The 13,972-nt window shown below is 43.2% G+C and overlaps 1 protein-coding gene across 7 annotated transcripts in view; it reads left to right on the top strand.

Moving 5' to 3' along the window:
* Positions 1–13,972, top strand: part of SLC25A16 (solute carrier family 25 member 16) — a 49,526-nt gene that overhangs the window by 8,475 nt on the left and 27,079 nt on the right. For 3 of the 7 annotated variants that reach the window (NM_152707.4, NM_001324312.2, NM_001324313.2), the window contains exons 2-3: positions 2,206–2,298; positions 12,331–12,464. In NM_152707.4, coding sequence (NP_689920.1) covers positions 2,206–2,298; positions 12,331–12,464 — 227 coding nt within the window. Of the gene's footprint in view, positions 1–830; positions 1,966–2,205; positions 2,299–12,330; positions 12,465–13,972 lie in introns of those variants that run through there. The other 4 variants (NR_136737.1, NM_001324315.1, NM_001324314.2 and 1 more) reach the window with 3 other exon arrangements.

Raw genomic sequence — 13,972 nt, 5'->3', positions numbered from 1 at the left:
AGCTAATTTTGTATTTTTAGTAGAGACAGGGTTTCTCCATGTTGGTCGGGCTGGTCTCAAACTCCCGACCTCAGGTGATCCGCCCACCTCGGCCTCCCAAAGCGCTGGGATTACAGGTATGAGTCACCATACCTGGCCAACTATTATTTTCATTAGTTCGGATAAGAGAGCTTTGATATGGAAACATAGTGGATATAATATCTGAGTAAAAAATACATTTTATTTATTTATTTATTTAATTTATTTATTTATTTATTTATTTTATTTGTTTTTTTGAGACCGAGACCTGCTCTGTTGCTCGGGCTGGAGTGCAGTGGTGCGATCTCGGCTCACTATTACCTCTGCCTCCTGGGTTCATGCAATTCTTCTGCCTCAGCCTCCCAAGCAGCTGGGATTACATGCACGCACCACCATGCCCAGCTAATTTTTGTGTTTTTAGTAGAGATGGGATTTTACCATGTTGGCCAGGCTGGTCTTGAATTCCTGACCTCGTGATCTGCCCGCCTCGGCCTCCCAAAGTGCTGCGATTACAGGCATGAGCCACGGCTCCCAGCCACAATTTATTTTTGGATATCTCAGAATATGGATTTTTAAAATTAAAATTTTATTTGTGTTTTCTTTTTTTTTCTTTTTTTAAGACATAGTCTCTGTAACCCAGGCTGGAGTGCAATGGTGTGATCTCAGCTCACTGCAACCTCCACCTTTTGGGTTCAAGAGATTCTTCTTCCTCGGCCTCCCCAGTAGTTGGGATTACAGGCAGCCGCCACCATGCCCGGCTAATTTTTTTATTTTTAGTAGAAATGGGGTTTCACCATATTGGCCAGGCTGGTTTCAAACTCCTGACCTCAAGTGATCTGCCTGCCTCGGCCTCCCAAATTGCTGGGATTACAGGCGTGAGCCACCGTGCCCGGACTTGTTGTTTTTTAAAGACCAGGTGTTGCTGTGTTATCTAGGCTGGAGCGAAGCCGCACAATTATAGCTCTCCGTGACCTCCAACTGTTGGCTCACGTCATCCTCCAGCCTTAGTCTCTGAGTACTGAGGCACACCACCATGCCTTGCTAATTTTTTTTTTTCTTTGAGATGGAGTCTCGCTTTGTCGCCCAGGCTAGAGTGCAATGGTGTGATCTCGGCTCACTGCAACCTCGGCCTCCTGGGTTCAAGGGATTCTCCTGCCTTAACCTCCCAAATAGCTGGGACTACAGGCGCCTGCCACCATGCCTTGCTAATTTTTTTGTATATTTGATAGAGACGGGGTTTCACCATGTTGGCCAGGCTGGTGTCGAGCTCCTGACCTCAGGAGATCTGCCCGCCCCGAGCTGCCAAAGTGCTGGGATTGCAGGCATGAAGCACTGCGCCCAGCCGATTTTAAAAAATTTTTTGTAGAGATGAGGTCTCACTGTGTTTCCCAGGCTGGTCTCAAACTCCTAGTCTCAAGTAATTTTTCTACCTCAGCCTCCGAAAGTGCTGGGATTACAGGTGCGAGCTACTGTGCCTGGCCTGTTATTCACCTTTTTATAAAAGGAGCAACCCATTTTTTCAAGTCATTACTAGATGTACAGTATTGTAGAGAAGTCTATATTATTGCTTTAGAAGCATGCCAAGCTCGAAGGGCTGGCCTGGACTCTGACCTATGCTAAAGCCCATGTATGCACTTTATTCTACTTTCATCTATACTTTTCCCCAGTGGCACATGGTAGGGTCGAAATACATATTTGCTGAATGTATAAATGGATGACTAATTTTATGGGTAAAAGTTGGTTGTTTCAATGAAAAATGATCCAGAAGAAGAGGAGTTTACTTCAAACAGAACCTGGCAATCGGATAAATACCTTCAAGTGTCTGTCTCCGTAAAAATGTTCCAGAAGAAGAGGAGGTTACTTCAAACAGAACCTGGCAGTTGGATTAATACCTTGAAGTGTCTGTCTCCATAACCACATTTTAGCAAGATTCCCAGCCTTCCTCAGGTATTAGATGACGATTTACACTACTAAAATTTGTTTTAGTAAGTTTTAGCAGTGTAATCATGCTCACTTATTAAGTTACAGGAAATGGGGACCAGTCATCTGCATATCTATACGCTGTGGGCAGATTTACTCATGGAGACTGAATTAGAGATTAGAGGGTTTGCTGGCTGAACAACTAATGATTTCCATCTGGAAAGAAATGGTACGCAATTTCTTCCTGACCTTTTGAAAAATTTTTAGGTATTGCTGGATGCTGTGCCAAAACAACAGTTGCTCCATTGGATCGAGTAAAGGTTTTATTACAAGCTCACAATCACCATTACAAGCATTTAGGTGAGTTAATAGATGCTAAAGATAAAAATGAATGAAAATATTGTGGAAAGTGGGCAAAAAAGGGAATTTAAGTTTGGGGGTGTAAAAAGTAAAGTAGAGGTTCCTCTTTAAAAACTTTTTTCCCCATTTAATTAGGAATAAATAGTAACTTCTCTCAGAAGCAAAATTTATTCAAAGACCTGTGCTAACATTCTTAAATATTTGCTAGCCATGATTAAAAAATCAATGTGCTTTATGTTCTTAGCTCCCACAATTTAGCCTAAATATTTGCCCTGGCATGCTTATTCTGCTCCAAGCAAGCATTAGGTCATAGCTTGTTCCTCTTCCTTATTTAAAGGTGTTTTTTTTTTACCTTCCCCAGCATTCCACAGGTTACTTTCTCCTTCCCTTGTGCTCCTCTGCCTTTGCCTCTTTTAAAAAGTTCTAAGTTGCTAGCCAGTCGGGACAAATACAGGCTGTGAGGTCCCGTTCCAGCCAATGGAAACTGGACACAGCAGTAGGGTGGACATGTCAGGTTATAAATGACCCTGTCTCCTTTGTTCGGTGTACTTTCGTGGCAAAACTGCTGGCGAGTATACCCTTTCTGCAAAAAATAAAAATGACCTTGCTAAGTAAATTAAACTTAGGTTCAAGTACTATTTCTTTACGGCACCAGGAAACGAGCATTTCAAATGGGCAAATTTGTTATTTGTTTTTTCTCTGTAGGTTCAGGAACTTGAAAGGGGGCAAATTTTCCAAAGAATATATTTCTTATCCATTATAATCCTTTCATTTGCAGTAGTGGTTATATATATTATCATTTTAGGATGCTGATATTTTCCTAGCCCAAATCTTGGAATCATTGAAGCAAATATTACATGTTTATTGGGATTTATTAGTCACATTGTTCACAGGCACACGTAACAACTCAGTCTGATTTTTTACTATTTATTTATTTATTTATTTATTTTTTGAGGCAGAGTTTCGCTCTTGTTGCCCAGGCTGGAGTGCAATGGCGCGACCTCGGCTCACTGCAACCTCTGCCTCCCAGGTTCAAGCGATTCTCCTGCCTCAGCCTCCCTAGTAGCTGGGATTACAGGCATGTGCCACCACGCTTGGCTAATTTTGTATTTTTAGTAGAGATGGGGTTTCTCCATGTTGGTCAGGCTGCTCTCGAACTCCCAAACTCAGGTGACCCGCCCGCCTCGGCCTCCCAAAGTGCTGGGATTATAGGCGTGAGCCACCGAGCCTGGCCTCAGTCTGATTTTTTAAATGCAATAAGAGATGGGAGATGAAATTTAAAAATGCAAAACTGAAATAATTACTCCTTTTTAACGCTTAATTTAAAAAGCATTCTAGAAATATTTGTTCAAGAAGAATCCAGTGCTTGCTTTTTTTTTTTTTTTCTTTTTTTGGAGATGGAGTTTGCTCTTGTGGCCCAAGCTAGAGTGAAATGGCGCTATCTCGGCTCACCACAACCTCCACCTCCTGGGTTCAAGTGATTCTCCTGCCTCAGCCTCCTGAGTAGCTGGGATTACAGGCATGCACCACCACGCCTGGCTAATTTTTGTATTTTTAGTAGAGACGGGGTTTCTCTATGTTGGTCAGAATGATCTCGAACTCCCGACCTCAGGTGATCTGCCTGCCTCGGCCTCCCAAAGTGCTGGGATTACAGGTGTGAGCCACCGCACCTGGCCACTTGCTTTGTTAAAAAAAAAAAAAATCAAGACTTTAGGCCAGGTGCAGTGGCTCATGCCTGTATTCCCAGTACTTTGGGAGGCTGAGGCAGGAAGATCACCTGAGGTCAGGAGTTCGAGATCAGCTTGGCCAACATGGTGAAACCCTGTCTCTACTTAAAATACAAAAATTAGCTGGGCGTGGTGGCAGGCACCTGTAATCCTAGTTACTCGGGAGATTGAGGCAGGAGAATAGCTTGAATCTGGGAGGTGGAGGTTGCTGTAAGCTGAGATCAAGCCATTGCACTCCAGCCTGGGGGACAAGAGCGAGACTTCGTCTGAAAAAAAAAATCAAGACCTTAGTTGTTCCTTACAGACCAGCCATTTGATTAACATGGACACTTCAATAACTTGTCATTGGTGAGAATAAGAATTGTTTAGTCTTTGGAGGGCATTTTGGCAATATGCGTAAAAGTCTCAAAAAGTACCTATTCTTTGACCTTGCGGTTCCAGTTCTAGGAGATTATTCTAAGGAAGTAAACAGAAATGTGGTCAATGATACATATGCAAGGATCAAAACATTAATTATTATTATTTTTTGAGATGGAGTTTCACTGTGTTGCCCAGGCTGGAGTGCAGCGGTGTGATCTCTGCTCACTGCAACCTCCGCCTTCCGGGTTCAAGTGATTCTCCTACCTCAGCCTCCTGAGTGGCTGGGACTATAGGCGTGCACCACCACGCCCGGCTAATTTTTGTATTTTTTAGTAGATACGGGGTTTCACCATATTGGCCAGGCTGGTCTGGAACTCGTGACCTTGTGATCTGCCCGTCTCGGCCTCTCAAAGTGCTGGGATTACAGGTGAAAGCCACTGTGCCCGGCCTATTATTATTACTATTTTTTGAGACAAAGTCTTGCTCTGTCGCCCAGAGGCTGGAGTACTGTGGCATGATCTTGGCTCATTGAAACCTCCTCCTCCAGGGTTCAAGCCATTCTCATGCCTCAGCCTCATGAGTAGCTGGGATTACAGGCATCCGCCACCATGACCGGCTAATTTTTGTATTTTCAGTAGAGAGACAGGGTTTTGCCATGTTGGCTGCCTCGAACTCCTAACGTCAAATAATCTGCCTGTCTTGGTCTCCCAAAGTACTGAAATTATAGGCATGAGCCACTGCTCCCGGCCAAAACATTATTTGCGTTAGCTTTTTTTTTCTTTCTGAGATGGAGTCTTCCTCTGTTGCCCAGGCTGGCTCAATCACAGCTCACTGCAACCTCTGCCTCCTGGGTTCAAACTATTCTCCTGCCTCAGCCTCCTGACTAGCTGGGATTACAGGGGTGTGCCACCATGTCCAGTTAATTTTTGTATTTTTACTAGAGATGGGGTTTCACCGTGTTTGCCAGGCTGGTCTCAAACTCCTAACCTCAGGTGACCTGCCCGCCTTGTCCTTCCTAAGTACTGGGATTACAGGCATGAGCCACCACGCGCGGGCACTGTGCTTGATTTTTATAATATCGTTTTATAGAAAGATGTTTAACAGGGTGAATAACAATGAGTTATTTTTCCAACTGCATTTTAAAAGTGTTATTCTTACAAACCTGAATGGATATTTATGCGGTATATTAATTATAACTCATTTTCTTGTCAATATTTTTTCTTTTCTTTTCTTTTTTTTTTCCTCTTTTTTTTTTTTGAGATGGTCTTGCTCTATTGCCCAGGCTGGAGTGCAGTGATGTGATCTCAGCTCATGGTATCCTCTGCCTTCTGGGTTCAAGCAGTTCTCCTGTGTCAGCCTCCTATGTAGCTGGGACTACAGGCATGCACCACTGTGCCCAGCTAATTATTGTATTTTTGGTAAAGACGGGGTTTCACTATGTTTGGCCAGGCTGGTTTCTTATTTTTTATTAAAAAAAAAAAAATAGAGAGTAGGTCTCACTTGTTCCCTAGGCTGGTCTGCAACTCATGACTTCAAGTGATCCTCCTGCCTTGGCCTCCCAAAGTGCTAGGATTACTGCGTGGGACTTCACCGCCCAGCCAACATTTTGTTTTGTTTTGTTTATCAGACGGAGTCTCTCTCTTGTGGCCTAGGCTGGAGTGCAATGGTGCAATCTCAACTCGCTGCAAACTCCGCCTCCCAGGTTCAAGCAATTCTCCTGCCTCAGCCTCCCTAGTGGCTGGGATTACGGGCACCCGCCACCACGCCCAGCTAATTTTTTGTATGTTTAGTAGAGATGGGGTTTCACTATGTTGGTCAGGCTGGTCTCGAACTCCTGACCTCAGTTGATCCATCCGCCTCAGCCTCCCAAAGTGCTGGGATTATAGGCATGAGCCACCACTTCCAGCCCCAACCAACATTTTTAATAGTGAGGAAGTCTGTACTTTGAAATAGAAAAATTGCAACTATCTTCATATCCAGGAGTGAATTATCATTTATCTTTTTTTTTTTTTTTTTTTTTTTTTTGAGACGGAGTCTCGCTCTGTTGCCCAGGCTGGAGTGCAGTGGCGGGATCTCGGCTCACTGCAAGCTCCGCCTCCCGGGTTCACGCCATTCTCCTGCCTCAGCCTCCCAAGTAGCTGGGACTACAGGCGCCCGCCACTACGCCCGGCTAATTTTTTGTATTTTTTTAGTAGAGACGGGGTTTCACCGTTTTAGCCGGGATGGTCTCGATCTCCTGACCTCGTGATCCGCCCGCCTCGGCCTCCCAAAGTGCTGGGATTACAGGCGTGAGCCACCGCGCCCGGCCAATATCATTTATCTTTAATTTAGTTTCTATTAGACTAATTTATGTATTTATGTATTTATTTATTTATTTGTGACAGGGTGTCTTAAATATTTGGAGAGACAAGGTCTTGCTATGTTGCCAAGGCTGGTCTCAAACTTTTGGGCTCAAGCTGTCTGACCCACCTGTCTTGGCCTCCCAAAGTGCTTTGATTACTGGCATGAGCCACTGTGCCCTGCCTCTGCAATGAATTCTTCCTCACACAGTTTATTGCTCATGTATACAAAGAATCAAAATTAAACGTGTGTAAGCCTAGCCAATATGGTGAAGCCCCGTCTCTACTAAAAATACAAAAATTATCCAGGCTTGGTGGCGCACACCTGTAATCCCAGCTACTAAGGAGGCTGAGGCAGGAGAATTGCTTGAACCCAGGAGGTAGAGGTTGCAGTGAGCCAAGACTGTGCTACTGTACTCCAGCCTGGGCGATAGAGTGAGAACCCATCTTAAAAAAAAAAAAAATTAAATGCATGTGGTTGCATGTACCTGTAGTCCCAGTACTTTTGGGAGGCTGAGGTGGGAGGCTTGCTTGATCCCAAGCATTTGAGTCTGCAGTGAGCTGTGATTGTGCCACTGCACTCCAGCCTGGGCAACAGAGTGAGACTCTGTCTCCAAAAAAGAAAGGATTAGACCTGTGAACTTATTGAGAGATTATAAAAAACTGGAAAGGAAGGAAATTATTTTCTTTTTTTGTCTAACTTGAGGATAAAATGGAGAAGAATGATATTACCCAGTGTCTTGGGGTGTATTACTCTGCGTATCAGTGTGTGAACAGGATTCTTTTATTCCTTTAACCTCCTCCCCGTGCTGATGTGTGCTGTTTTGTTTCCTGATTTGCAATCATTAGGTTACACATTCATATTAGATTTCACACTCTATAGGGCTGCATGCCGTGGGTTACAGTGTACCCTGGTTACAGTATACCCTACAAGGCATATAAAATTTGGAGTAGAATTCCTGGAGTGCAACAGTGAACTATTGTAGTAGTCTTTGGAGTGTCCTCTATTTTTAATATATACGAGCCCCCTCAAAAAAATAAATCTGTATTGGTGGCTTTAATTTAATTTAATTTTTCTTTTTTGAGACGGAGTTTCACTCTTGTTGCCCAGGCTGGAGTGCAATGGTGTGATCTTGGCTCACTGCAACCTCCGCCTCCCAGGTTCAAGGCCAGATTCTCCTGCCTCAGCCTCTCGAGTAGCTGGAATTACAAGTGCCTGCCACCAAGCCCCGCTAATTTTTAGTATGTTTAGTACAGACGGGGTATCACTGTGTTGGCCATGCTGGTCTCGACCTCCTGACCTCGTGTTCTGCCCGCTTTGGCCTCCCAAAGTGCTGGGATTATAGGCGTGAGCCACTGCACTGGGCTTTAATTTATTTTTTAAATGCTTTTAAGCATTTTATTCCAGGTACCTCCCCACTTTTTGTAGGTATAAGATAGTTTTTTTAATTTTGCTCTTTTCGAAAAATTTTTTCATGTATTTATTTGAGACGGAGTCTTGCTCTGTCGCCCAGGCGGGAGTGCAGTGGCATGATCTCAGCTCACTGCAACCTCCGCCTCCCGGATTCAAGCAATTCTCCTGCCTCAGCCTCTCAAGTAGCTGGGACTGCAGCTACATGCCACTACGCCTGGCTGATCTTGTATTTTTAGTAGAGATGGAGTTTTTCCGTGTTAGCCAGGATAGTCTCGATCTCCTGACCTGGTGATCCGCCTGCTTCGGCCTCCAAAAGTGCTGGGATTATAGGCGTAAGCCACCGCGCCCGGCCCATTTTTTAATTTTTTGAGACGTAGTTTCACTCTTGTCACCCAGGCTGGAGTGCAATGGCACGATCTCGGCTCACTGCAACCTTGGCCTTCCAGGTTAAAGCAATTCTCCTGCCTCAGCCTCCCGAGTAGCTGGGAGTACAGGTGTTTGCCACCACACCTGGCTAATTTTTTTTTTTTTTTGTATTTTTAGTAGAGACAGGGTTTCATCATGTTGGCCAGGCTTGTCTTGAACTCCTGACCTCAGGTGATCCACCCACTTTGGCCTCTCAAAGTGCTGGGATTACAGGCGTCAGCCACTGTGCCCGACCCCTAAAAATTTTGCTTTTTTAAACATGATTTTTCACAGATGTTAAAGATATGCTATTGGACAAAACTATTACTTCTACTCCGACTTTTTATAAAAAGTGTCACATTACTTCCAAGGCATCAAAGACATGTTTTTATTTTACTTGTCTTTTATTTATGTATTTATTTATTTTTTGAGATGGAGTCTTGCTCTGTTACCCAGGCTAGAGTGCAGTGGCGCGATCTCGGCTCACTGCAACCTCTGCCTCCTGGTTTCAAGCGATTCTCCCGCCTTAGCCTCCCAAGTAGCTGGGATTACGGGCATGTGCCACCATGCTGGGCTAATTTTTATATTTTTAGTAGAGACGAGGTCAGGCTGGTCTCGAACTCCTGACTTCGTGATCTGCCTGCCTTGGCCTCCCAAAGTGCTGGGATTAGAAGCATGAGTCACCGCGCCTGGCCTTTGTCTTTTTAAAAAATATATCTATCTATATATCTATCTATCTATATCTATATATCTATATATATAGATATATATATAGATAGATAGATATATAGATTTTTTTTTTTGAGACATGGTCTTATTCTGTCACCCAGGCTGGAGTGCAGTGGTGTGATCACAGCTCACTGCAGCCTCTACCTCCTGGGCCCAAGCAATCTTCCTGCCTCAGCCTCCTGAATTGCGAGCGCCACCACGCAGAGCTAACTTTTAAGTTTTTTTGTAGAGATGGTGTCTCACTATGTTGTCTTGGTTGGTGTCAAATTCCTGGGCTCAAGCGATCCTCCCACCTTGGCCCCACAAAGTGCTCAGATTATTGGCATGAGCTACTGTGCCTGGTTGTACTTCTTATTTTAAATTAAAATTATTTTCCTCAAATTATAAGGAAGGAGTATATTTAAAAATTTCTCCTTGTCCCAATTTGTTTTGTTTTTTTGAGACAGAGTTTCACTCTTGTTGCCCAGGCTGGAGTGCAGTGTCGCTGGAGTGGCTCACTGCAACCTCCACCTCCCGGGTTCAAACAGTTCTCCTGCTTCACCCTCCCTCGTAGCTGGGATTACAGGCACCCGCCACCATTTCCATCTAATTTTTGTATTTTTAGGAGAGACAGGGTTTCCCCATGTTGGTCAGGCTGGTCTTGAACTCCTGACCTCAAGTGATCCGCTGCCTCTGCCTCCCAAAGTGCTAGGAATAAAGACATGAACCACCGCGCCCGGCCCTTAATTTTAGAAGTACTGTATCTATTTCACTTCTACTAATGGTTTCTCTTAAAATGCTTTTAACAAAATTGGCGACAATCAAAAAATTTTAAGTAATAACATAATAAACATATGTGGACCTGCAACAGAGCTTTGGAAATAAACATTGTCAGTGTAGTTGAAACCCCCTCGATACTTCTACCTTATCATTAGCCTTCCTGTCTCTGCTAGGTAATCATTACTCTAAATTTGATTACCCTTTAATTATTACAAACACTTTTGGATCAAATTAAACAGGGCTTAACCTTTGTGTCCGCTTCCAGCAAAAGGAAGTTTTAATAGAATTCTTTTTTTTTTGAGATGGAGTTTCCCTCTTGTTGCCCAAGCTGGAGTACAATGGCACAATCTCGGCTCACTGCAACCTCCGCCTCCCGGGTTCAAGCGATTCTCCTGCCTCAGCCTTCCCAGTAGCTGAGATTACAGGCACCCGCCACCATGCCCAGATAATTTTTTTTGTATCTTTAGTAGAGACGGGAGTTTCTCCATGTTGGTCAAGCTGGTCTCGAACTCCCAACCTTAGGTGATCCACCCTCCTCGGCCTCCCAAAATGCTGAGATAACAGGTTTGAGCCACCCCGCCTGGCCTAGAATTCTTTTTTTTTTTTTTTTTTTTAAAGCTTCCTGTTACTCTCCTATCCACATTTTGTATCCTCTGTTCTCTCGATGAATTGACAGTTTTATTGGTATGAACTCTTCTTTCTGTTATTATAGTCATACATTTTACTTTTTACATATGTCATAAACTCCAGATTGCATTGCCATAATTTTTGTTCAAACAAGCAGTTATCTTTTTGTTTGTTTTTTTGAGATGGAGTCTCACTCTATCACCCAGGCTGGAGTGTAGTGGTGCAATCTCGGCTCACTGCAACCTCTACCTCCTGCTTCAGTCTGCTGAGTAGCTGGGATTACAGGCGCACGACACCATGCCTGCCTAATTTTTGTATTTTTAGTAGAGACAGGGTTTCACCATATTGCCCAGGCTGGTCTCAAACTCCTGACCTCAGGTGATCCACCTGCCTTGTCCTCCCAAAGTGCTGGGATTACAGGCATGAGCCACCACGCAAGGCCAGAATTCTTCTTACCAGAATGTTAGTCCATTTCGATATCTGCTTTTGGGATATATCTTTTGGATGTTAATAAGTACCTACAATTTTAATTACTGAGAAGGGCTGAAGAGGTTATTTGCAGTCTAAAATTTGAAATGAACCTGGTGATTTCCTTTCATATTTGATCAAAAGTTTGCTTGAAAAATTTGAAAGGGAACCTGAATTTAAATTGTTGAATAATGGAAGTAGTAATATGTTTTTGAGAAGTCTGTATACTGCTTGTAGGATTAGTGACTGATGTTAATAGAGTAATAAAGATATCACTATATATAGATGTGTCTATATATTTTTTACTTGTCAGTTAGAAAGCTCAGAATATCACTGTATATAGATTACAACTCAGCCCTTTGTTTATCATTATTCCTAAAGTGTCCTAATAATGAAAATTTGCCCCCACACTTAAAGAGTATTAATAGGTAGTCTTTTTATTTGCTTGTTTTATTTAAAAATCTCTTTATGTAAACAAACAAAACACATGTATCTGGGTAGGCCTCTGAAACCTTCCTTCATCCTTCCAGATAAAGAGTAGATCATCTTCAGGGCCAGGTGCAGTGGGTCACGCCTGTAATCCCAGCACTTTGGGAGGCCGAGACGGGTGGATCACGAGGTCAGGAGTTTGAGACCAGCCTGGCCAACATGGTGAAACCCCGTTTCTACTAAAAATGCAAAAATTAGCCGGGTGTGGTGGCGGGCGCGTGTAATCCCAGCTACTTGGGAGGCTGGGGCAGGAGAATCATTTGAACCTGGGAGGCGGAGGTTGCAGTGAGCCCAGATCGCGCCACTGCACTCCAGCTGGGGCAACATGAGTAAAACTGTCTCAAAAAAAAAAAAAAAAAAAAAGAGTAGGTCATCTTTAGTGCAAACCTGGACCTTGCATATATTTCTATTGTTAATATTTTTTAGATTGCTATAGTTTAATATAATTTGCTATTATTATAAATAGAATTTGCTGTAATTTGTAGTTGTTTCTACAGTAGGTTTTATATTATATGGGGTGTGCTTATTTATATTATTTGGATATATGATGCATTTTTAGTAGGTTTAACTGTTTTATAGAAATTACTATTCATGTAATCCCTCAAGCAAAATTATATCTTGAGTGATGGCACATTAATCTTTATCTGTGATTGTCATGAAAATTTAGGTTTAGATAATTTTCTCTGTTTTAACAGCATTTTTCCTCTAAAAATAGGAGTATTTTCTGCATTGCGTGCTGTTCCTCAAAAAGAAGGATTCCTTGGATTGTATAAAGGAAATGGTGCAATGATGATTCGAATCTTTCCCTATGGTGCAATCCAGTTTATGGCATTTGAGCATTATAAAACGGTAGTTAAACTTTGATCTTTTCTCTTTTGCGTTCTTGAATATCATGCATGCTTGACCAGGCATTTGCTTTGGACATTTAAAAATATGTAAAAGTTTCATATTTTTAAAAAGTTAAATTATTGGTTTTTTTTTTTTAATTTTTGAGACAGAGTCTCGCTGCCCAGGCTGGGGTACAGTGGCACGATTTTGAAAGGCTCACTGCAACCTCGCCTCCTGGGTTCAAGCGATTCTCCTGCCTCAGCCTCCTGAGTAGCTGGGATTACAGGCCTATGCCACCATGCCTGGCTAATTTTTGTATGTTTAGTAGAGACAGCGTTTTGCCATTTTGGCCAGGCTTGTCTCAAACTCCTGGCCTCCCAAAGTGTTGGGATTGCAGGCATGAGCCATGGTACCAGGCCAAAAAGTTACTTTTGATATAGCAATGCCTTTTTAAAGGAATAAGACTTGTGACAGCTTAAGATTTTAAATATAACTTGTCTTTGGAATTACCGATTCCAGAATTGTTAGTCATTTATGAGTTATTTATTTATTTATTTATTTAATTTTATTTTTTGAGATGGAGTCTCACTCTGTTGCCCAGGCTGGAGTGCAGTGGTGCACTCTTGGCTCACTGCCACCTCCATCTCCTGGGTTCAAGCAGTTCTTTGCCTCAGCCTCCTGAGTAGCTGGAATTACAGGCGCCCGCCACCACACCCAGCTAATTTTTGTATTTTTAGTAGAGATGGGGTTTCACCATCTTGGCCAGGCTGGTCCTGAACTCCTGACCGCGTGATCCACCCGCCTCCGTCTCCCAAAATGCTGGGATTACAGGCTTGAGCCACCGTGCCCGGCCTTTATTTATTTATTTTTTCAGACGGAGTTTCACTTTTGTTCCCTAGGCTGGAGTGCAATGACATGATCTTGGCTCACTGCAATCTCTGCCTCCCAGATTCTTACAGGCATGCACCACCATTCCTGGCTAATTTTGTATTTTTAGTAGAGGCGGGGTTTCACCATGTTGGTCAGGCTGGTCTGGAACTCCTGATTCAGGTGATCTGCCCACCTTGGCCTCCCAAATTCTTGGGATTACAGGCATAGCCACTGCACCCGGCCAAGTAAATTCTTTATGTTCACTCCTAATGAATGAGAGCTAGAATATCTTTAAAGAAGATAATAATAAATCCATATAATATTAATATATTTTTAATGTGTTTCCCTTCCCTCCTTCCCTCCCTCTTTTCTTTTCTTTTCTTTCTTTTTTGAGATAGTTTCTCTGTCACCTAGGCTGGAGTGCAGTGATGTGGTCCTGGCTTACTGCAGCCTCAACCTCACGGACTCAAGCAATTCTCCCACTTCAGCCTCCTGAGTAACTGGCACTAGAGGCATGTGCCACCACCCCCGGCTAATTTGTTTTTTCTTTCTTTTTCAGAGGTGGAGAAGAGGCCTGGCTGATTTTTTAAAAAATATTTTGTAGAGATGGGGTCTCACTGTGTTGCCCATGCTAGTCTCGAACTCCTGGGCCCAAGCTA

This window comes from Homo sapiens, chromosome 10 (assembly GCF_000001405.40).
Source record: "Homo sapiens chromosome 10, GRCh38.p14 Primary Assembly".
NCBI lineage: Eukaryota > Metazoa > Chordata > Mammalia > Primates > Hominidae > Homo > Homo sapiens.
Note: the sequence above shows the minus strand (reverse complement) of the source record. Positions and strands in the feature narration are given on the sequence as shown.